This window comes from Homo sapiens, chromosome 3 (assembly GCF_000001405.40).
Source record: "Homo sapiens chromosome 3, GRCh38.p14 Primary Assembly".
Lineage (NCBI taxonomy): Eukaryota > Metazoa > Chordata > Mammalia > Primates > Hominidae > Homo > Homo sapiens.
In genome coordinates, this window is record NC_000003.12 from 94,039,174 (window position 1) to 94,064,048 (window position 24,875).

The 24,875-nt window shown below is 37.1% G+C and overlaps 3 protein-coding genes across 19 annotated transcripts in view, besides 1 other annotated feature; 2 read left to right on the top strand and 1 right to left on the bottom strand.

Moving 5' to 3' along the window:
- ARL13B (ARF like GTPase 13B) overlaps positions 1 to 16,505 on the top strand; it is a 75,524-nt gene extending 59,019 nt beyond the window's left edge. For 11 of the 14 annotated variants that reach the window (NR_033427.2, NR_135621.2, XM_011512533.3 and 8 more), the window contains 5 exons: positions 707 to 815; positions 3,842 to 4,067; positions 10,233 to 10,349; positions 11,651 to 11,719; positions 14,014 to 16,505. Coding sequence is in view for 12 of the 14 variants with exons in the window: in XM_011512533.3 (XP_011510835.1) it covers positions 707 to 815; positions 3,842 to 4,067; positions 10,233 to 10,349; positions 11,651 to 11,719; positions 14,014 to 14,090 (598 nt within the window). In the remaining 2 variants the exon portion in view is untranslated. The remainder of the gene's footprint in view (positions 1 to 706; positions 816 to 3,841; positions 4,068 to 10,232; positions 10,350 to 11,650; positions 11,720 to 14,013) is intronic. The other 3 variants (NM_001410782.1, NM_001437443.1, NM_182896.3) reach the window with 2 other exon arrangements.
- DHFR2 (dihydrofolate reductase 2) lies at positions 18,749 to 24,147 on the bottom strand. Of its 3 annotated transcripts, none has more exons than XM_011512537.4 (2): positions 24,064 to 24,147; positions 18,749 to 22,433 (listed from the first exon to the last, which is right to left on the bottom strand). In XM_011512537.4, exon 2 carries the CDS (start codon positions 22,336 to 22,338, stop codon positions 21,775 to 21,777), a length of 564 nt encoding a protein of 187 aa, XP_011510839.1. In that variant the 5' UTR covers positions 22,339 to 22,433; positions 24,064 to 24,147; the 3' UTR covers positions 18,749 to 21,774. The 3 variants fall into 3 exon arrangements, with proteins under 3 accessions (XP_011510839.1, NP_001182572.1, NP_789785.1); NM_001195643.2 differs by lacking the exon at positions 24,064 to 24,147 and adding an exon at positions 23,696 to 23,743; NM_176815.5 differs by lacking the exon at positions 24,064 to 24,147 and adding an exon at positions 23,573 to 23,743.
- Positions 23,782 to 24,021: an enhancer, noted in NCBI's record as "active region_20124". NCBI's record gives its function as "activates an Ori minimal core promoter by ATAC-STARR-seq in GM12878 lymphoblastoid cells {active_cell/tissue: GM12878}" and the evidence as "EXISTENCE:reporter gene assay evidence [ECO:0000049][PMID:35858748]".
- NSUN3 (NOP2/Sun RNA methyltransferase 3) overlaps positions 23,888 to 24,875 on the top strand; it is a 68,772-nt gene continuing 67,784 nt past the window's right edge. For both annotated transcript variants that reach the window (NM_022072.5, XM_047448684.1), the window contains exon 1: positions 23,888 to 23,965. In NM_022072.5, the coding sequence (NP_071355.1) occupies positions 23,954 to 23,965 (12 nt within the window). In that variant the 5' untranslated portion in view covers positions 23,888 to 23,953. The remainder of the gene's footprint in view (positions 23,966 to 24,875) is intronic.

Sequence of the window (24,875 nt, forward strand, 5' to 3'; positions counted from 1 at the left end):
AGACTTAGCCCTTAAGAAAAGAATTAATAAGAATAATTACTATTTGGCTGGGCGCGGTGGCTCACACCTGTAATCCCAGCACTTTGGGAGGCAGAGGCAGGCAGATCACAGGGTCAGGAGATCGAGACCATCCTGGCTAATAGGGTGAAACCCCGTCTCTACTAAAAATACAAAAAATTAGCCAGGCCTGGTGGCGGGCGCCTGTAGTCCCAGCTACTCAGGAGGCTGAGGCAGGAGAATGGCGTGAACCCGGGAGGTGGAGCTTGCAGTGAGCCGAGATGGTGCCAATGCACTCCAGCCTGGGCGAGAATGCAAGACTCCGACTCAAAAAAAAAAAAAAAAAAAAAGAATAATTACTATTTGTTAACACCAGTAAAGAGGACAGCATTGATTTTGGAGGGTAATTAATAAGTTGATCAGTAATACCCTTGGCACATGGAAGAATAATTGCACTGTTGATATTAAGAAGTCACTCATAGGAAATGTCATTTTTATCAGCATTTTTTTAATTGAAATGATTAGTCTTTACATGGGAGGAAGCAGCCTCTTACCTGCATAAGGATTTTTGAAATGCTCTCAGTAATTCAAAACCATGTCCAGATGTTTAAATTACTACATGTAATAGCCTTATACCTATTGCAGTTTTCTTTAACATGGTTCAGCACTTTCTCAAAGGAAATTTCAATTATTTTTCCTCAAACGATAGAAAACAAAATGAACAGGAGCAGGCTGAACTCGATGGAACCAGTGGTCTGGCTGAGTTGGACCCAGAACCAACGAATCCTTTCCAGCCAATAGCATCTGTAATCATTGAGGTATGAATGATGGCAAATGTAATTTTTGTATCTTAAGTTATAAGTTGGAACTTGGAAAAGAAGGTGGAAAGTTGGGAAAGGAGGCAGGGAAACAGATGTGTTTCTTCTGAGAGATTATTTCTATAAGAAATTAAACATGAGAGACTGATTAAAGGTTTACTGCTTTTTCTTACTCTTAAATTACCTTTGAATCTAGTGTGAAAGGGGGAATATGACTTCAGAATTAAATGACAATAAATAAATTTGACTGTAGCAATTATTATAGTTGCTGTGTTGACAAATCTATTCTGTCATTTATTTCATATAGTAATAACATATTTACTCTTATTTACATTTTCTGTGTTTCTGTATTGCTGTTACTGTCCATCTGCAATATTTACTTAGAATGCATTAGGGTACATAAACAATTTTCTATTTTTCCAGGATACTTAAGGATGTTTGAAACTGCAATAAATTCTCCTATATCTGAATATCATTTATTTCCATTTTAAATCAGAAATTTTACCAACATTAATTTGTAGATTTTAATTATGAAGACGTTAAGGGGTTGTGTGTGTGCGCGTCTGTGTTTTTGTTTTCATTTTCTGCTCATGTCCAGAGTTTGCATTGGCTCTGCTTTTATGGCTGGCAGCAGCGATGCCTCTTCTGAGGCATTGCTTCCTAAACCTTAGGCTGACTTCCTGGTCCTACCTGGAAGGTTTTTTTTTTTTTTTGTCTCCATTCTATCAGATATTATATTTGTCAAGTTTTGTTTTATGTTCTTTTAAAAATATTGAGAGAGAAGAGGTCAAGTTGTACTTTTTACTTTGAAACAACAATTATTCTCTGTGTATAATAAGGCTTGCTTTATAAATAATGGCTAATTATTTTATAGTACCATGGGTATAAATTGTGTAGAAGGCTCTAGTGCTTCTCCCAGCACCGTATTTCCCACAATGTATAGAAGTGAATAATAGTGGTGTACGACATAGTATATATCACATATAGAAAGTTCCCAAATTAATAAGTGGCATGGGGAAAGTACACTTAACGCTTTGAAACTACAATTTCAAGAAGATGGCCAGTAAAGAAATAAAAGCAAATTAGCTATAGTTTTTTTTTTTTAACCATACAGATTTTCTCTTTTTTTCCCCACAAAACTTTTTTAGCATGTTTCTTGGTACAGAAGCACCTAACATTTTTTTTTATTATTACTGCAGATAATTAAAATGGTGAGATATTGGAAGGTATTGGTTCCAGAAGAGACAGACAGATCAATGGAACGAATATTAATAAACCTATTTATGTATGAGCATTTTAGTACAAGATAAAGATAACATTTCAAATCTGAGAGAAAAAAATAATAGAACAACTTAATAACCATTTAGAAAAAGGAAAATTATTGAATATTGTATACCCAGTTAAATTCCAAAAGTATCAAAAACTTAAATACGTTTTAAAAAGTGAAAGTCTTCAAGTTACTAGTAGATAATATAGATAAGTCTTTATATGTGCTTGGAGGAGGAAAAAATTTCAAAGCAGGACAAGCAAGCCACAAATCATAAAGGAAAAAGGTGGATAGATCTTATACTACCCAATTTTTAAAGAGCTATTCTACAAAGTTAAAAAGCAAAAATGAAAAGAAGTAAACTCTAGTGAGAAATAGAACACATAGTCTTATGTGACTCTGTGACTAGTCCTAGTGACACGTATGCACAAAAGAACTCTTACAAATTACTATGAAAATAATGAGAATCTAATAGAAAAGTGGGCATTGGGTTACCAAAGGCAGTTTCCTAAAAAAAAATTAAAAATGTCAATAAGTGGCCAGGCACGGTGGCTCACGCCTGTAATCCCAGCACTTTGGGAGGCCGAGGTGGTTGGAGTTCAAGACCAGCCTGGCCAAGACGGTGAAACCCTGTCTCTGCTAAAAATACAAAAAATTAGCCAGGCGTGGCACGAACCTATAATCCCAGCTACTCCGGAGGCTGAGGCAGAGAATTGCTTAAACCTGGAGGGGTGGAGGTTGCAGTGAGCCGAGATCGTGCCACTGCACTCCAGCCTGGGCGACAGAGCGAGACTCCATCTCAAAAAAAATAAAATAAAATAATTCAATAATAGTTCATTTTTGCTGGCAATAAAAATTTTAACTTAAACTCAAATGAAAATAACACTAAGTTAAATAAAAATATGTATTAATACGGCAGAGATGTAAAAGGTCAATCATGATATGTGGTATTGAATATGATGTAGAAAAAAATCACTCTCCCAACCCTTTGCCTGAGGTTCATTGATTCATTTTTTCTGAAGGGAAGTTTGTGACTATATGTGACATTTTTAAATTTGCCTACCCACTGACTCAACAGTTCTACTGTTAGCAATTTAATCTAAAAAAATTAAAAAAAAGCTATTAGGATGATTCTGTTTTTTAAAATAGTGAAAAATTGGAAATACTTTGTTCATTGATACAGAATTGGTATGCTATAAACATTCAAAATAATAATTGATGAAAATAATTGTATCTAACATTTATGTAGCATTTACTATGTGTAAGGCACTGTTCTGAGCACTTTATATATTCATTGGCATGGAAAGAAATGTATATTCTTCAATAAAAACTTCAATTCTTTTTTGTTTAAACAACAAATACATAAGTATATATAGATACATATATTTATGTATGTTTCTGGGTGATGTATGTCTGTACATGATATAGGTATGTATGTGTGGGGGTTGGCAGAGAAAATCATCTCTTAGTGATTATATACTGAACAGATTATATACGGAATAATACAGATGAATAGTAGTCATCTCTAGATTGTGGAATTACTGGTAATATTTGTTTGCTTTTGTTATACTTTCTGTTTTACTGAATGTTTGACATTTAGCATCTTTTAATGATGTATTCATGAAATCATTTTTAAAATAGAAGTCTCACAGTGTCCTTGAAGTTACAGAATCCTGTTAAGGTATTTGATTTCCTCTCCCTTAAAACTATCTTAGATAAAACCATCATAGTAAAGATAATGTATTTTATTTTTTGTTAGAATGAAGGAAAACTTGAAAGAGAGAAAAAAAACCAAAAAATGGAGAAAGACAGTGATGGCTGCCACCTGAAACATAAAATGGAGCATGAGCAAATAGAGACACAAGGCCAGGTTAATCACAATGGCCAAAAAAATAATGAATTTGGACTAGTAGAAAATTATAAGGAGGCATTAACACAGCAGTTAAAGAATGAAGATGAGACAGACCGGCCATCATTGGAATCAGGTAATAAATCTAGTTATTTAAAGTAATTATCTTATGTATATATAAATAAAACTTATACTTCATCTCATTTTTTATGTTTGTTTTTACAAACGAGTACTTCAATATTTTTCTGTCTTCAAATGCCATATTTACCATGATTTTCTCAAGGTCTTTTATTATTCAGTTTGTTCCTAACCTGTTTTTCCATGACTTAAAATGTGGTCCTTTGTAACTTATAAGGATTTCAGCAGAAAATTCCATTTTTATTTTCATAAATTTGGGATACAGCATAGCTCTCAAGAATCCTTGGAATAGCCCTCCCCCTCCTCCCCCTCCCCCCTCCCTCTTCCCCTCTCCCTCTTCCCCTCTCTCCCTCCCCCTCCCCCTCTCCCCCTCCCCCTCCTCCCCTCCCCCTCCCTCTCCTTCCCTCCCCCCTCCCCTTTCTTTCTTTCTTTCTTTCTACAGTCTCCCTCTCTTGCCGAGCCTGGACTGTACTGCCATGATCTCGGCTCACTGCAACCTCCCTGCCTCGGGCTCCTGTGATTCTCCTGCCTTAGCCTGCCGAGTGCCTGGGATTCCAGGCACGCGCCGCCACTCCTGACTGGTTTTTGTATTTTTGGTGGAGATGGGGTTTCGCCATGTTGACCGATCTGGTCTCCAGCTCCTGGCCTTGGGTGATCCGCCCACCTCGGCCTCCCGAGGTGCTGGGATTGCAGACGGAGTCTCGCTCACTCAACGCTCAATGTTGCTCAGGCTGGAGTGCAGTGGCGTGATCTCGGCTCGCTACAACCTCCACCTCCCAGCCGCCTGCCTTGGCCTCCCAAAGTGCTAAGATTACAGCCTCTGCCTGCCCGCCACCCCGTCTAGGAAGTGAGCAGCGTCTCTGCCTGGCCGCCCATCGTCTGGGATGTGAGGAGCCCCTCTGCCCGGCTGCCCCATCTGGGAAGTGTGGAGCGCCTCTGCCTGGCTGCCACCCTGTCTAGGAAGTGAGGAGTGTCTCTGCCTGGCCGCCCATCATCTGGGATGTGAGGAGCGCCCCTGGCCGGCCGCCCTGTCTGGGAAGTGAGGAGCGCCTCTGCCCGGCCGCCCCGTCTGGGAGGTGAGGAGCGCCTCTGCCCGGCCGCCACCCCGTCTGGGATGTGAGGAGCGTCTCTGCCCAGCCGCCACCCCATCTAGGAAGTGGGGAGTGCCTCTGCCCGGCTGCCCTGAATGGGAAGTGAGGAGCGCCTCTGCCCGGCCACCCCGTCTGGGAAGTGGGGAGCGCCTCTGCCTGGCTGCCCCGTCTGGGAAGTGAGGAGCGCTTCTGCCTGGCCGCTCCATCTGGGAGGTGAGGAGCGCCTCTGCCTGGCCGCCACCGCATCTGGGAGGTGAGGAGCGTCTCTGCCCGGCCGCCACCCTGTCTGGGAAGTGGGGAGCGCCTCTGCCCGGCTGCCCCATCGGGTAGGTGAGGAGTGCCTCTGCCCGGCTGCCCATCGTCTGGGAAGTGAGGAGCGCCTCTGCCCGGCCACCCATCGTCTGGGAGGTGAGGAGCGCCTCTGCCCGGCCGCCCCGAATGGGAAGTGAGGAGCGCCTCTGCCCGGCCGCGCCGTCTGGGAAGTGGGGAGCGCCTCTGCCCGGCCGCCCCGTCTGGGAAGTGAGGAGCGTCTCTGCCTGCCCGCCCCTCGTCGGGGAGGTGAGGAGCGCCTCTGCCCGCCGCCGCATCTGGGAGGTGTACCCAACAGCTCCGAAGAGACAGTGACCATCAAGAACGGGCCATGATGACGATGGCGGTTTTGTCGAAAAGAAAAGGGGGAAATGTGGGGAAAAGAAAGAGAGATCAGATGGTTACTGTGTCTGTGTAGAAAGAAGTAGACATAGAAGACTCCATTTTGTTCTGTACTAAGAAAAATTCTTCTGCCTTGGGATGCTGTTAATCTATAACCTTACCCCCAACCCTGTGCTCTCTGAAACGTGCTGTGTCAACTCAGGGTTAAATGGATTAAGGGCGGTGCAAGATGTGCTTTGTTAAACAGATGCTTGAAGGCAGCATGCTCATTAAGAGTCGTCACCACTCCCTAGTCTGAAGTACCCAGGGACACAAACACTGCGGAAGGCTGCAGGGAGCTCTGCCTAGGAAAACCAGAGACCTTTGTTCACGTGTTTATCTGCTGACCTTCTCTCCACTATTATCCTATGACCGTGCCACATCCCCCTCTCCGAGAAACACCCAAGAATGATCAATAAATACTAAAAAAAAAAAAAAAGAAAGAAAGAAAAAAAAGAGTTAAAATGCCAGAGCCCCCAACTGATCTGTAGATTTAAGGCAATTCCAAACAAATCCCAGCATGAGTCTTTGTAGATATAGGCAAGTTCATTATAAAATATATGTAAAAGTAAAGGACTGGAATACCCAAAACAATTTTGAAGAAAGATCAAGGTTAAAGACTCATACTACCCAATTTAAGACATACTATAAAGTAGTGGCCGGGCACAGTGGCTCATACCTGTAATCCCGACACTTTGGGAGGCTGAGGCGGGAGGATCACGAGGACAGGAGATCGAGACCACAGTAGAGACCCCGTCTCTACTAAAAATCCAAAAAATTAGCCAGGCGTGGTGGTGGGCGCCTGTGGTCCCAGCTACTCAGGAGGCTGAGGCAGGAAAATGGCGTGAACCTGGGAGGCAGAGCTTGCAGTGAGCCGAGATGGTGCCACTGCACTCCAGCCTGGGCAACAGAGCAAGACTCCATCACAAAAAAAAAAAAAAAAAGAAAAAAAAAAGACATACTATAAAATAAAACCACAGTGATCATAACAGTATAGTATTGACTAGAGGATAGACACAGAGATCAATAAAACACAATAGAGATTCTAGAAATAGATCCCCAAAATATGGTAATTTTAATGAGTTTCATTGAGGTATAATTGACTTACAACAAACTGCACATATTTATAGTATAAAGATTGATACATTTTGATATATGTATACATATGTAAAACCATCAGCCCAATCAAAATAGTGAACATAAACATTATCCCCAAAAGTTTCTTCATGTCCTTTAGTAATCCCTTCTTTCCTCCCCTCTCTACTTCTCCACCTCATCTCCTGGCAATCACTGATCTGCTTTATATCATTTATATTCATTTATATTCCTTGAATATAAAATATTCCTTTATATTTATATACTATTCCTTGAATATAATATATTCCTTTATATTAATGGAATCATATAGAATGTACTTTTTTGTCTTGCTTTCTGAACTCAACGTCATTCCTTTGAGAATCATCCATGTTGTAGCATGTATCAATAGTCCATTCTTTTTTATTGCTCTGAGGTAGTCCATCATATCCATGTACCGTACTTTGCTTATCTAGTCACTTGTTGGTGGGCATTCAGGTGTATACTGTTTTGGCTATTACAAATAAACCTGATATGAACATTCATGTACAACAAAAAAAAAGAATCCTTGGAATAAATTTAACATCTTAAGGTTTTTTGTTTGTTTTTTAAGGCTCATAAATGCTACATCAGCATCATTTCCTTTATTGACTGGCTATTGCTGTAGGTTGCAAACTTTATTGGTACAACATTTTTAAAATGTCTTGTCAAATAGCCATTTTTCTCTTATTTTAATATCATAAAAAATCTTCAACTTATAATTGCTTTTCTTTTTCTAACTGGCTATGTTATATAACAGAATGTTCATGATTTTTGGTATCGTAGGGATATAGCCTGCATTTGGAATCACACAACTTGGGATAGAATCTTGACTCTCTTATCTACTAGATATACGTTAAGTTATGTAACATTCTTTAGTCTTAGTTTCTTCATCTCTAAAATGCAAATAAATATTGTCTTTATTCACAAGATTTTTAGGGTTACTTAGAAAATAACTCTACTCCTAGTAGTGTCAGCCACATGAGATGCGCCCTATAATTGTTGCTTCCTTGACATTTTTAGTTATGAATATGGCTTTGTTATTTATAAGAAATTTTTATAGTATCACAGGGCTTATGAAAATAAGATTTCAATTCCTGAGATACAGATTAGCTAACATGGATATTTTGCTGGATGAAAATATTAATTTGAAAGTTATACTTTTTGTCAGTTGGGAAGTTAGGGCAGTCATATATTACCCATGTAACTGTCAGCAGAGTTAAAAAGGAAGTAGACCTATTACAGTGGTCGCTAAGTTTTTGAATAGTTCTCTACTGCTTGTTAAAGAACAAAATGATTTTGGCAAATGATTTGAAAATATAGCACAGGGAGATCTCAGGTAGTAAATCATGTAACTATAATAATAACTAACATTATATTTTATACTTTAAAAGATGCCTTTGTATGCACTATATTATTCAACATAATATTTTGTTATTTAACATAGCAATCCCAGGGTATAGTATTCCATTATATAAATGAAGAAACCAGGGACTTGAAGAGGTTGAGTAACTTAAGATCATATATCTGTCTGTGTAAGCTGAGACCCCAGTCCAGATCATCTGATCCACATCCTGTGCTTTAACGTGACCCTGAACTAATGCCTACCCTAAAGTACCATTTGGTGGTTGTATTCTTCCACATCTTGTGGATCTATTCTTCCAGTTGTTAGGCTTACCACTTTAATTGTACAAAGACCTATTTGTTTTTATATGAAGTGAAATGTTTCAAACAACACTAATTTATTTAGAATAATAATTTGTTTCTAAGTGTGATTGTATTTTTTATTGCTTTTTAGGCTTCACAGATATTGTATATATTTTATGTTACAGATAATTCCCATTTAGAAAGTACATTGCATAGACACACACACACACACACACACACACACACACACACACGGCAATTTTGAAATATTGCAGTTACATTGGCTGGGCAGGGTGGCTCACATCTGTAATCCCAGCACTTTGGGAAGCCAAGGAGTGCAGATCACTTGGTCAGGAGTTCAAAACCAGTCTGTGCAACATGGCAAAAGCCCATCTCTACAAAAAAATACAAAAATTAGCAGCATATAGTGGCACATGCCTGCAATCCCAGCTACTCTGGAGCCTGAGACACAAGAATCACTTGAACCTGGGAGGTGGAGATTGCAGTGAGCCAAGATCGCACCACTGCACTCCAGCCTGGGCAGAGAGTGAGGAAAAAAAATTGCAGTAACATTGATGTTCTAAATTTAGTTAACTACTATGTCATCCTAATTTACCTTACTAAAATTTATACATTAACATAGATTTCCTTAAAGTGTTTATATGTGTTTAAGTTAAAATATGTAAATAATTTTTAAAAGAAAGAACACATTCAATTCTGCTAGTTCTAATGCGATTTTGGTTACGTGTTTGTATTGTATTGGGCCTACCTTCTTTAGGAGTTATTTTATTTGTTTATTTACTTATTTATTTGATTTTTTTTTTTCTGAGATAGATTCTCACTCTGTCACCAAAGCTGGATGGCAGTGTCACAATCACACTCACTGCAGCCTTGAACTCCAGGGCTCAAGTGATCCTTCTGCCTCAGCCTCCTGAATAGTTGGGACTACAGGCACATGAAAACAAAGCCATGCTGGGGTTTTTTTTTTCCCCCATAGAGATGAGGTCTCCTTATGTTGCCCAGACCATTCTCTTAACTCCTGGGCTCATGCATTCCTCCTACTTCAGCCTCCCAGAGTGCTGAGATTACAGGTGTGAGCTGCCATGCATAGCCTTGTAGGGGTTATTTTAAATAAGTAACATGTTTAGATTTGTTTAGGGCCTTTTATGTCACATTTCAAAGGATTATATTTGGGCTATTTATACCTGGAATCATTCTACATATCCCACTGAGAAAAATCAAATATACTGAGTGACACAATAATGAATAGCTTCTTTTCCCAGATTATTATGAAGTTCATGGAAACTCTTGCAATTAGACAATTATATTTGTGTCATATGACATTTTTTTGTATTCTGAAAAACCTCTCAGAAATTAAAATATAGAATTTTGGCTCTTTTTATCATATTCATTGCTCATTCATTCATTCAATAAGCCATCACTTAAAAAATATATTCTTAGTAAATGCAAGTACACATTTGGTTATTGTAACAATTTCCAAAGTTAAATAGTCAAGATGTTTTTTGTTAATAATATCAGTATTCTTGTTGTATTCTTTGTTTTCTATTATAAAAGTGCACTTTTTCATAAAGACATGAAGTTTCATGTTTATATTCTTGTAGCTAATGGTAAAAAGAAAACTAAGAAACTAAGAATGAAAAGGAACCACCGGGTAGAACCACTTAATATAGATGACTGTGCTCCTGAGAGTCCAACGCCACCCCCACCCCCTCCTCCTGGTGAGTAAATTGATACTGATACTGAATTTAGAAATATTGCTTTAAACAACAGAGAAAAAAAAAAAGAAAAAAGGAATCTTGTCATTTTTATTCTGTATATTCATTATCTTGTATACTTGTGAAGAAGAATCTTTTACTCTGATTTGGACAAAATTTGCTAACACAAATGTCCATTGCTTTTTTGAATAAAAAAATGTTTTATAAAGAAAAAAATAAGTAAAAACTATTAAGAAAATTTTACCCAGTATTTCCTAGAATATGTTCAAGTTCTATTTGAAATATCAGTACCCACATGTTAATTTAAGTTTCACGATGGATGGCTAACATGAGTTTTTAAAACATTGAACCGGCTCGGCATGGTGGCTGACACCTGTAATCCCAGCACTTTGTGAGGCCGAGGCGGGCAGATAACCAGGTGAAGAGTTCGAGATCAACCTGGCCAACTTGGTGAAACCCCGTCTCTACTAAAGATACAAAAAAAAAAAAAAAAAATTAGCTGGGCGTAGTAGCACATGCCTGTAATCCCAGCTACTCAGGAGGCTGGGGCAGGAGAATCGCTTGAACCTGGGATGGAGAAGTTGCAGTGAGCCAAGATCACTCCATTGCACTCCAGCCTGGGTGACAGGGTGAGACTCCATCTCGGGAAAAAAAAAAAAAAAAAAAAATTGGACCTTTCATCCTGAAAGTTAATGTTTGAAACCAAGATGTATTAATTTTTTCTAATACATTTTCAATATACATACCCATGTCCTAAGTTGTTACGAGGATTAAATGGAGTAATGCATATAAAACACTGGGACTTAACTTGCACAATAATTTTGAGTAACTTTTCAGCACTAAGCTTAGCACCTCACCTACTATAGGTGGTCAGTAAATATGTAATGACTAGATAAATATGTGTATAGTGCCCTTATAGCCCTGCTACAAGGCTTTAGAAATTATTTGGTAACATTTTAAGAATCTCTTATAGACTCATTTCCAGTATTCCATTTATTAAGAAAATATTTAGTTTCTGCCTAGAGTTAGAATGATAGCATGAGTTTGTTTTTGATAGTGGTGAAGGTGCTTATAGTTTTTATTAAAAGCTACTGAAAAGTTAAAGCAGATGTTAGCAGCCTATAATTACATTTTAAAATATAGAAGCCATTTAAAATGGGTTTCTGGCTTTCCATACTGTCATTCAATATATTTGAATTGACATTGAATGTTACATATGCTTCCTTTCCAGGGAGGGATCCTCTCAACAGACCTAAAGAAACCTTGTTTAACAGTGTTTTTTAAATGTTTTTCTTTTTCTTTAGTTGGCTGGGGAACCCCTAAAGTCACTAGACTTCCAAAACTTGAGCCTCTTGGTGAAACACATCATAATGGTAATGCAAAAGGATTGGTTTTCAGATATCATCTGTACATGTCACATTCACTTTTCTTTAGCCTTATAATTTCAACAAACTTATGTTTTAGTTTTAGAAGCTTGTCAAATCCACAGCTATCCTTTTTCATTATACGTCTTTTTTCATTTTATTTAATTTTTTATTCTTAAGTATGCTTTACATCTATATCATTTAATTTGGTGTTTACCTTAGAATACAGAGGTAAAAAGAATCATAGCTTGTGTTTATTATCCATGATATATTTATACAAGGAGTTATAATAAAAAGGAAATGTTTTAAAATAATTTAACTATGAGACATTAGAATTTATAACTTAAGTGTTAAAAGCTGTAGTTTCCTGTATATGCTCAATATACTCAATGATAATGGCACATAATTTTTTCTCTCTACTCCTAATAAGACAACCAGCTGCTGAACATTAAAGTGAAGTAAAGATCAACACAGTTTATAAAATCAGAGATCAAATCAGTAAACCTAATAAAGTTCGACTAAGTAGAAAGTTACTAACATTTTTATTGAATTAAGAGAACAGTTTTCTTTGAATATAACATACGCTATAGTCTAGATAGTTTATGGCATTAGAATTCTAGGATGCAAAAACTAGAGGAAGGATATTTAGGAGAAGTAGAGAACTGCCTTATAAAACAAGGAGAAGTTCTGATTACAGACCATCAGTCTAGGTCCCTTCAGTAAAATATTTCTAGAATGCAAAAGAATTATAGATAAATGTAGTTCAATAAACTTGTTTGTTAAGAACATCCAATTCCTTTTTGGACAGCTCTGTGTTTACCTAGTCTAGAACTTGGTTTCACTTACTAGGAAAAAACTCAGAAGTTTACTCTTTAGAAAAGCATTACCATATAATTTGAAATTATATCAAACCAGTTTAAATATTTTTGTTTAAAAGGTACTTAAATATAAATGTGCTATTTGCTTTTTTCCCCCAGAATTCTATTTAGGTCAGTATTGAAATATTTCTTGATAATCGTTAGTGAAAATTCATGAATTTTTTTTTTTTTAAAGACAGAAAAGTTTGTCCTTAGACTCCATCAGAATTACTGAAGTGGTATTTTCAGTGAAATCTCATCTCTCTGTTTAGTTTACTGACTTGACATCGTGATGTTTATATTGACTACAGTAGATTTATTTCTTTATTACACAACTCTTAGTGAACTTGTGTACGTTAGAATACATTGTCAATATAAATATTCACTATGTTGTTAGAAAACTAATGTTACTGTGTATATTTATATGTACACACATACATATGAAGAAAAAATACCAATTTTTCATATGACATATTTTTTCTGTTGAACTCATTTAACATACAAGTATTTTGTTTGTTAAAACATTGGTAATAACAAGATGAATAAGATGTACATTCTGCCTTTGTGAGGATTCTACTATACAGAGAGGACAATTCTTCAGCTTACTGTAGAATATATGACAATGAGTTCTATGGTGTACAGTTGGAGTACTGTGCACAGTAGGAGTACTGTGTACATGGGCAGTTAGGGAAAGTGGCATTAGAACGAGGTCTTCAAAGAATGAGAAGAGTCAGTAAGCAGAAGAAACAGACTATTTCAAGATAGAGAGTTAGGAAAGAATATTGTTTAGTTGGAGAATAACATGAAGTTGCCAGTGACAGGAGATTAGGTTTATGTGCATTGAGTGGGTAAGAAAGAGAAAATATAAAATTACAGAGAGTGTTGAAAGTGGAGTTATGGCTTAGGGCCAGATTGTGAAGGCTTCATATATGTGGTAAGATGTCTTAACTTGCTATAACTTTTAAAGAAATGCTTTTATTTTTAAAAGGGAAAATGCTATTATATTTGGTGCTTAGAAAAACATTTTTTGTTGCAATGTAAAGTACAAACTTGATAGTGGCTATATTTGGGGTAAGAATCCAAATTTGGGGGCTATTGCAGTAGTCAAAGTAAGAAGTAAGGAATGGAAATTGGATTGGAGAGTATAACATAAGGAAGGAATATTTTAACCATTATAATAAGTAATATGTGATTAATGCATGTGTGGATTGAAGGCAAAAGGAATAGAGTATAATTTGGCTCAACAGGATGGAATGTTGGTGCCATCTCTTAAGATTTAAAATGCACGAGAGAGAAGGAAATCTTTTAGAGAGGCATGTCAAGATTCTGTAAGTTTATCTCTTTGGAAATGTCTAAAATGTCTAAAGTCTAAAAAATAATGAACTGTGTCAAAAATCTTGATGTACCATAACTGTTTTGTGCATTTGGTTTTCTTTCTTTTCTTAGATTTCTATAGGAAGCCACTGCCTCCCCTGGCTGTGCCACAGCGACCTAACAGTGATGCTCATGATGTGATCTCATAAACAAGACGTATGGAGGAGTTCTCTTAATATCAGCAAGGTGAACTGGGACATTCTTCTTTCTCAGAAGAAGAAACATCTTGTAAATTGATGACTGGGGCAAGATAACCATAATAATTTTAGTGAGAAGATTAATACTCAAGGACCTGACTTGATAATTACTTATTTGTGTTTTTCATGGTTAAAAAAATAAAAGAAGCACAATGACCAGTACATGAAATCAGCATTTGGACCAAATTAGCAAGATTTACTGTTGACTCTGGTTTATACATCCCCACTCATGAGCATACTTCTGAAGGAAAACTTTACAAAAAGAGCCAATGGACTCAGCACTTTCTTTACTATTTGTTCAATAGCCTATATTTCTAGATATTAAATATTTTTTGTAAGATATATGCACATAGAAGGGGGACTTCTAGGAATTTATAACCAAAATTTTAAAACTATTTTTATATTTTTTTAAATCTTTAAAAATTTTAATTACTGTGATATTGATTATACACCTTTTTTATAGATGATTTGTTTAAATTATATCTGGAAAATAGAGTTGATTTACTTTCAGACATGAACTATACAAACAGGATATATTTATATGGCTTGAGGTATGTTTTGTAATAGCGTTGTTCTTTAAGTGTACATCGTAATTTGACCTAATTTAAAAATAATATATTTTCGAAGTAGTAGATTCTCAGATCTTTATTCTAACAATTACATGATTTGAAAACAGTACTCAATGAGACTGGAAATACCTTTTGTACCTAAATGTTTTTTAAATTAATCAAAATACATTCTGTGAGATACTATTAAAAGTCTCAGTAAAGTCCTATTTTAAAGGTTAGACACTTTCAGAGATCAAGGTGCTCCCTATACTCCCTTGTTCCATCAGAAGCTGCAGTGACTCTTTTAGGTGATTCTAATTCTTTCATGCCTTGAAATTAAACTATGAAATTAAAGGCAGAAAAACTGGAAAACCTACTGCAGGTCCAGAGACTTCTGTTTTACAACTGGGAAACAGCTTGTGTACTAAAGTAATGAGAATAAAAATGTTGGCCCAAAATTACTTTTATAAATAAATAATTCCAAAATAATTTCTTAATTTAAAATGATAGCACTTCTCTTGCACTTAAGAATGGCATCCATAAGATTCTGTATTTGGCATTTAGACTAACTTCTAGATGTATATTTTTAATAATAGATTCATAATGTTACATTTAATTGAAAACAAACCTTTATATCCAATGAAAATAGTATAAACAGAATGATTTTTATACCACCTTGTTAAGATTGGTGCTTTTGGTAACTTGTACTGACACAACAGACATGTGCTAGTATCTGATAACATTAAGTACATTTTATGTCGTTTAATATAATTATTTACTTTAAAAATTGTACTTCAGAACATCAGATTTTATTCACATTTTTTAACTCACTGAACTTTAATAATCAGGTCACCTGTACTCTAGTCAGCACTGTATATATTCTTGGAGTTTGTACATGGGACTTAGCAACCACACTGAGTGAGGTAAAAGCATTTGATTTCAGATCTAAAATTCGTAACAACCTAAATTTGAGAGGTGGCTGAAATGTGATGAAAAGCAATACGAAAAGACAATGTAAACTTTGAAAAGGATTTTAGAGGGAAAATTGCATAGCTTTTTGTAACATTTACTTAATTTTAAAACTAAACTCATACTTTTGCTATCTTTTTAATATTTATCTCGTTTGGGAGTATACGTGTTTTTAAAATTTGTGTTTTCTATCTGTTTACTATAGTGTAGCTACTGGCTTCATTTAATAAAAATAAATGATTTTGAAATTAAATATAATATAGAATTCACATTTTATATAGCTCTCTCAAAAATTAATTTTTATTCCTTAAGCATTTTAAAAACATTTTAAAAAATGTTTTGTAAATCCAGGTGTATTTTAACAATTAAATGCCTATTTTGTTATATGTTATACTTTTATTCTTAATTCTGAATTTTGACATTTTCACACAATAAAAATAATTTATATCAATATTCTGTTTCTCTTTTCAATTGGTAGATTTAAATGATTTCCTTTGGGTAATAAAATAGGTAAAGATTTTAAAATATGATTATTGAAAAACAGTTTAAATCAGTAGATTAAAATAATGCATTTTTTTGATACTTTACACACAAAACTTTTTTCTCTCTGCAAGTTTTTATGTATGTGGGAAAGAATTTGTGATTTTAAATGCAGCTACAAATAGCATTTCACCATATGATGTTAGAGGATTTGATGTCTGTCTTGCGTTAAAGCTGTTGGTCAACAGATATGTTTTTATGTATTTAAAAGAGGCTCTTGTGTGCCTTTATGTGTAAAATGCATATTACGTAGTATACATGATATTGTATGTAACTGACTTCAAATATAAAACTATGCATAGAAACAACACTAGAAAGAAATGTAGTTTGGCTTACTTTTGTAGTGAGGGAGGCAAATTTATAATATTGTATAAATTATTTAAGTACCATGTTTTCTGCAAGTTTAAAATTAAGTGCTTTTATAAATGCCAGATTAAGACTACAATTCCCTTAATATGTAAAACCTGTGAACATCGTGGAGCAGTTCACCTGCAGAATACAACTAAAGAAATCAAATGCTTCTAGGTAGCAAAAGCTATTCACAAGCTAAATTGTTTATACATATAAAGCTGTAGCTTATAAACTTTATCATCCTTGGCTTTACTTAGTAAATTTTTTTGCTAAGTGGAATATGCTTTGCAACTGAGATTCTGCTAATAATGGTTTATTAATTTATCAGGAAGTATATTCCAACTGATCCAAAGAACAAATTCAAATATTTTAAAATTTTCAATTAAGCATGGCATAGGTTATCAAAATAGCAATAATCCTTTATCTTTACAGAAACAGAATAATAGATACCTGTTTTTTGAGGGGGGAAAAAAAGAAAGCCAGAAATTAACTTCCTTTAATGAAAGAGATCAGCTTATAATTAAATGGAAAATAGGAAAAAAGTTCATTTGCTTGTTGAGGGCTTAACTTGTAAGTTCCTTCTGTGTGCGGATGAGGAAATCATTTACAACCTAGGTAAGTGGATCAGTGGTTTCCAAGTTTTTATTATAATATCTTCTATCAGAAAACATTTTTAATATACATTGATGTTTATGTTATTGTATTAGTTTGCTAGGGTGGCCATAACAAAGTATCACAGACAAGTTGCTTAAACAACAGAAATTTATTTTCTCAGTTCTGGGGACTGGTAGTCTGAGAGCAAGTTGGTGGGTTTGCTTTCTCCTGAGGCCCCTCCTTGCCTGATAGATAGACACTGTCTTGTGTCCCCACGTGGCCTTTTTTCTCCACCCACCCCCACTGTCTCTGTGTGTTCGATTTTCCTCTTTTTATGACTTCTTATAACTTAACTTTGTAAAGGCCCATCTCCAAATATAGTCACATTCTGAGGTACTGGGGGTTAAGGCATCAACGTGAATTTTGGGGGGACAAATTTCAGCCCATAACAGTTAACATACTTGTTCTACTGCACTATGTACATTTTAAATACACTTCCCTAAAAAAAGAAATTTTAAAAGACTACATAAAGCTTAATAAAAATAAAAGTCATTATATTTACTTCCTAGACACAGTGGATTGTCTGCTGGAGTTTGTACAGACCACATTGGAGCCCTGAAATTTAGTAAAATGAGAATCTCACCTGACGTTTAAGCCTAAGATTGCCTATAACTATGCTGTGTTCTGTAGCATTGATCACAGGTTTCCTGTTGTGTTTTCCTGTTGTTTTTCTGCCATATATTTTAAGGAGCTCAGGGCTCTCTTGATGTCATATTGTTTTACTACAAAGCGTCTCCTTACCTTTTTGACAACATAAACCTCTATATGAACATGAAGGGTTTTGACACATTTTATATAAATATGAAAATTCATAAAACATAGTTTAGGAGTTATTCCATAAATTACTCTGAAATACTTCTTAAGACCAACTGACCTTATAATAAAATTGCTTAGATATGTAAAAATTTGTTTCCTGCCTAGAGGTACGTCCTTATTAAGCTGCTTGGTTCTTTAACGCTAACATTAAAAAAAGCACAAAAAACAAACTAATGTGATTTATGTTATTTGTGTCAGCTCAATGTCTTATGTCTGCAGTGGTTTAATTCAAGTTTGCTGCTAACAGTTTTTATTCCTAAAACTCAATGTAGAATTGTTTGTTCTTTGGTAGCTATTTGGGGTGCGGATGGGGAGTAAAATCCATTAACATTCTCATGATACACATATATTGATTCTAGATAGATTAAGAGGTTAAACATAAAAGATCAAACTATGAAAAGGTAAGGGGAGAAACAGAAGTGGCTTCACTCGGGGAAAAAATGTATAAGCCTGAAAGCAGTGGAATCAATAAACTCAATTTACAATGCACAAAAAAAATTTTAAAATACCTTCACACTTAAAGTCAAATGGTTATAAGAAAAATTGAGAAAGTGTTTTAACATCTGACATGGTTATCTCAAATATAAATAAAATGATACTAAGACACCTATAGATAAGTGGACATGAGCGGTAATCTAAAAAAGAAATAACTAATAAGATTTGAAAACCTACCCAAACTAAGGGCATAATTAACTAGGCATTATAAGGAGATTATTAGAGATTCAGACAAAATTCATAAGCAAAGTTGTTTATTTAAAATCAGAAAATATAAAGATGCTGAGTCCCAAAAATGTGATAAAATTAATATGACCTCTTTCCAAGTATAACACATTGCCTTTCTCTAACAGAAATAAACTATGATTCTTATTACAGTCTTAAAATTCTTTTTTTAATGAATGAGTGTAACTTTTTATTAAGATAGAATTATTTTTATTAAAGAAATATATGAAAATGGTTAAGTAAAATCAAATGGCTCCAAAAGTCTTACAATGAAAACAGTCCTGCGACTTGTTCTTTCCAGAGGAAAGCACTTTTCATTCTCTTAGTTTTTCCTTCTGGTAGTTACCTCCATGGGTTTTAAAAAATTACTATTTTTTTAGTTTTTCAAGTGAATACATATATTAATACATGTAATCTTTAAAAGCCTCTTCAGTTTATAATGCATCCTAACAGTCCCCTGCCCCATCCCTCCTAATTCTCTGGAGCAATGACTTCTAACTCTTCTAGCAATGTTCCATTCTTTTCTTCACATAACTACTTAGTCATTTCTTGATTATGTTATACATTATATAGTGATTTCTTGATATGACAGATGAGGATTTAGCTCTTACACCATCACTATCTTCACTTTTCCCCCCATATTGTCCCAAAGTAGTTACCAGATTTAGGGGCTAAGCAGTCAGTCACCACATCATTATGACTATGTACATATTGCCCATTGTTGAGAAAAACAGCGTATGATGCTCTTACTTCCTATCCTGTACTTCTTCCTGCCCTAGAATTAATTATTGCCTAACCAACCCTTCCCCCTTGTTTTTTTTTGTTTTTTTTTTTTTTTACTTTTGCTTTATCTTCAATGCACTTCTTTCCAAATGCCCCAAATCTGGCAATAACCTATTATTTTTAAGAGAAGGGATCTCACTATGGTGGCCAGGCTGCTCTGAACTCTTGGGCTCAAGCCATCCTTTTGCTTAGCCTCCTGAGTAGCTGGGACTACAAGCATGGGCCATCCCACCCAGCTAATCTATTAGTATTTTTACTGTTTCTTTTTAAAGCTAGCTCCATAGCTGGAATATTGCCTGTGTTGGATACTATTTGCTGGATCCACGTCATTCTCTGGTTTGTGTACGCCTTCATTTTGCTGGAGTATTTTCTCCGATAGCTTCCCAAGAAAGGGTACATGTAACCCCTGAGTCTTTGCTTGTCTAAAAATGTATTATTTTACCTTCACCCTTGATTCTTTGCCTGAATATAGATTTATCAGTTGAAAATAACTTTATAGAATTCTGAAGGCATGGTTCCGTTGTTTTCAGATTCTTTTTTGAGACAGGGTCTCTTCTGTCACCCAGGCAGGAGTGCAGTGGCAAAATCACGACTCACTGCAGCCTTGAACTCATGGGCTCAATTGAATCCTCCATCTCAGCCCCGTGAGTAGACGAGACTACAGGTGTGTGCCACAATGCCCAGCCAATTTTTGTATCTTCTGTAGAGACAGGGCTCCACCATGTTGCCCAAGCTGGTCTCAGGTGATCCACCCACCTCAGCCCCCCAAAGTGCTGGGACCACAGGCGTGAGCCACCACTCCTGGCCAGTTTTTAATTCTCTCTCTACTTCTTTCATTTCTCAAAGGCATCTCAAACTCAGTGGGCCCAAAACCAAAGTCAAACTCCATCAGAATATCCTGCTACTTCCAACTTTAAAATATATCTTAAATCACAATTTCTTACCACATGCAATCCTTTGGTTCAAACTACCATCATCCCTCACTTGAACCTAGAATTGGTTTTCCTGCTTCTGTACTTTTTTAAATTATAAAATATTTCAAATAAACCATGTGTGGCTTTATACTTTTTACTAAAAGAATGAAGATCTGCCAAGTGCAGTGGCTGATGCCTGTAATCCCAGCACCCCTGAAGGCCGAGGCAGGAGGATCACCTGAGGTCAGGAGTTCGAGACTAGCCTGACCAACATGGAATGTCCCCACCAAAAATACAAAATTAGCCTGGCGTGGTGGCACGCGCCTGTAGTCCCAGCCACCCAGGAGCCTGAGGCAGGAGAATTGCTTGAACCTGGGAAGGCTGAAGTTGCCGTGAGCCAAGGTTGTTCCATTGCACTCCGCCTGGGCAACAAGAGTGAAATTCTGTCTTAAAAAGAAAAAAAAAAAAAAGTATGAAGAGTTTACATACTTAAACATGGAATTGCTTTAAGTGTTTGGCATTCACCGTTCCCGTACATTACAGCAGCTTCTTTCAGCAAACACCTGGAACTTGCTATTGAGTAGGTGGAGTACGTTCTGCCCACACACAGGACAGGGAGCTGACAACCAAGGAGTGGGGGTTAAATACTCTAGCTTTCTCCCCTCCGTTTCCCTGTATCTCAGCAGTATGGAGCTCGTTACCATTGAGAACCTCCTCACTGATTTTGAACTGGTTTTTACCTTCTCAGTTCCATTTCTCCATACTTCGATTGATGACTTCTGGTATGACCTAGCAAATAAACTGCTTTCACTTAAATTTCAGTCTTGGAATCTGCTTTGGGTTCCCCAATCTAAGACAGAAATATATTCATTTTCCCATCACTGGACTTCCAGGTTGTTTTCAGTTTTTCACTGTTACAAAAAAGGCTGCAACATTTGTCTACAAACCTCTGGATATACATGTACGAAGCTTTTGGTATTTCCTACTAGTGAAACTGCTCAGCTGAAGGGTATGTGCATCTTCATCTTTAATAAATACTACCAACATTAGAAAAGCCTGACAATGTCAAGGAGTGGCAAGAGTGCCACATGTGATGGGTGTGGAATGGCAGCTCACTGTAGCAGGTGCTGGGGACTCAGTCGGGGTCTTGGAGAGACAGTTATAGCAAGAATGTTTCATAAATGGTATCTGATATAGCCAAGATTAGTGAGGAATAAAAACACGTTGCTTAGAAATAATTATCCATAGATCTGAAGTCAACAAAAGTCCCTTTTCTAATGTAAAAATGCATACTTTTCTCAGAGGGAGGGGGAACAACTTAAACCAGAAAACACCTTCATATTAATCATCCTTCTCACATACTTCAAATTTGTACTTGATGTGTTTCCCCTCCTGGACATCAGAGAGAACACCTGGGTATTCAGGCAGAAGTTTATATTTCTCCAAGTCAATTTCTGAAAAAAACGTGTCACTTTCAAAGTCCTGCATGATCCTTGTCACAAATAGTTTAAGATGGCCTAGGTGATTCATGGCTTCCTTATAAACAGAACTGCCACCAACTATCCAAATCATGTCTACTTTATTTGCTAATTCTGGTCGTTCAGTAAGTTTTAAGGCATCATCCAAACTTCTGGCAAGAAAATGAGCTCCTTGTGGAGGTTCCTTGAGTTCTCTGCTGAGAACTAAATTAATTCTATCCTTTAAAGGTCGATTCTTCTCAGGAATGGAGAACCAGGTCTTCCTACCCATAATCACCAGATTCTGTTTACCCTCTACTGAAGAAGTTGTGGTCATTCTCTGGAAATACCTGAATTCATTCCTGAGCGGCGGCCTGGGCAGGTCCCCGTTCTTGCCGATGCCCATGTTTTGGGACACAGCGACGATGCAGTTTAGCAAAAGAAACATGACAGCAGCGGTTAACACCTCCGAACTTGCTGGCTACGCCAGGAAGCCAGGCCAAGAATGCCGCGAAATTCCCTTCTTCAAATTTTTTTACGTGCCTACATTGCAAATACAATACCACTGTATTAATTAATTGCAACATTCTGGAATGAACATAGAAAAATAAATTATATAAAATATATTTATAAAGTATAAATTTATAAAATATTTATAAAATATAAATTTATAAAATTATAAAAAATACAGAGGCTGAAAGGTTAGACCGACTTTTCCACAAACATTAAACAGACGGCATCCAAGAGATGGCATCATTTCATTCCTGATTATCATAGTCTTTTGTACCAAATCTAAATTCTAATAAGATGCATTTTTTAGGTGACTTGGAAACTTGTTTAAATAAATAAATATATTAAGCTTCAAATCAGATTAGAAGGAAAGACATGTTTTTACATGAATATAAGACTTGTACCTATAGCATGTACGTATATTGATATGAGCATCAAGGAACAACTCAAAATGATGATTATTAACTATCAGGGACCATATCAAACCGGTTTTTTCTAATTGCTGATTGCTGCTACAAATGATAGTTACTGAAGCATGACACCAAAAGAGCAAATAAACTTCTATTCGTGTCAAAATAGGTGTAATAAACATCTTCCTTGGAGAACCATTAAACATTGCTCCCTTGTAAAGGTGAATTGGGGAGGCTAGAGTGGAGGGTCCTTTTGGTCTTCACGCATTTGGTATCAACGCGACAAAAATCACAATGATCACAATAGTGAAAATAATAGCAGCTAACATTTGGGCATTTACTGTTTCCTAATCACTGTTGTAACCGCTTTACATGCCTACTTCAGTTTAACACTCTCCATTAAAAGGAGAGATTATCCCCATGGGCCAGGTCTGGGGAAAAGCATGACTTAATTTCTTTTTCATTATATTCCACCCTTTTATCCTTGGGTACTGAATGTCTAGGTTAACAGGGGTCACTAGATTTGGTAGATTAAGTCAGTAACTAGCTTCGCTTTGAGAATATTTTAAATCAGTCATCATACAACATAACCCCAAAACTCATTCCTTTATTGAGCCCCATGCATATACACACTGTTCAGCACAATATGCGACTTTTTATTTATTTTTGAGACAAAGCCTCGCTCTGTCGCCCACGCTGCAGTGCAGTGGCGCGATCACGGGTCACTGCAACCTCAAACTTCTGCCCAAGCGATCCTCCCACCTCAGCATCCGCAGAAGCAGGGGCCGCACAGGCGCGCAGATGTGTGACTTTCTAAGGTCCGGCCGCCCAAAGCTACGCCGACCAATCCAAGTAGCGAAAGTCGCTTTGGCCCTGGCCCGTTACCTCCGCGTCCTGGGAAGTATCAGCCTTTACCAGCTACCGGAAGTAACTGCGCACGAAATCTCCCGCGGGAGCTAAGCCTCTTCGACAAGAATTCTATAGCGCGAGCAAATCAGTATCTCGCGAGAAATTGAAGAGGAAACGTGAGAATGAAAGTGGATGCCCGCGAATCCCGGAAGTCAGACTGTTTTTTTCAGTTCCCTGGAGGCTTTTTGATACTGATTCGCGTACACCTGTTGTTTGAAAGCTCTCAGCGGGACAATGCTGACCCAGGTGAGACCTGGGGCCCGGCTGGGTACCTCTATCTGAATGAGACGCTTCTGGACGCGGCCGAGGTGGCGAGGGAGGGTGCTGGGATGGGGGAACATCACCTTTGTTCGTCCCCTCGCGAGATCAGCGTTTCTTTGGCTTTACTGTCAAGCCCTGAAATAATGCTGAGTGCTGTAATGCTGAGTCCCTTCCGTCCAGCTCGCAGACTTCTAGTACCCACTCCCTCCAGCTCTTGGAGGGCTGAGATTTGTTTTCTGTGTCACAGCGGTATCCCGGGAGCTTAGAACAGTGTCTGTTACATAGTAGGCATTGAATACACGTTTCTTGGATGAATAAATGAAACAATTGCAAGGAAGTTCACGATGAAATTGGAGTGACTTTTCTCCCTAAATTAACTTTTCACTTTAAAATAACGTTGCAAAGATAGTACAGAGTTCTCAAATACCTTTCACCAATTTTTCTTGATGTCAGCATCCCCGGTGACTTTTTAGTTTTGTTTAGATACAAGTTCTTGCTCTGTCACCCAATCTGGAATGCAGCTGCTCCATCATAGCTCACTGTAACCTTGAACTCCTGGGTTCAAGCGATCCTCCAGCCTCAGCCTCCCTAGTAGCTAGGACTACAGGAGCAGGCCACTACGCCTGGCTAATTTTTTTTTTTTTTTTACTTTTTGTAGAGACACGTCCTTGATATGTTTTCCAGTCTGGTCTTGAACTGGGAAATGATCCTCTCGCCTCGTCCCTGCAAAGCATGAGCCAGCTGGAGTACAGTGGCGCGATCTCGGCTCACTGCAACCTCCACCTCCTGAGTTCAAGCGATTCTCCCACCTCAGCCCCCTGAGTAGGTGGGGTTACAGGCGCCCACCACTACTCTCGGCTAATTTTTGTATTTTTAGTAGAGACGGGTTTCCCGT

What these genes read in the sequence shown, in the direction of transcription:
- DHFR2 (XM_011512537.4), bottom strand. Translation starts at nt 22,338, where the DNA reads ATGTTTCTTTTGCTAAACTGCATCGTCGCTGTGTCCCAAAACATGGGC.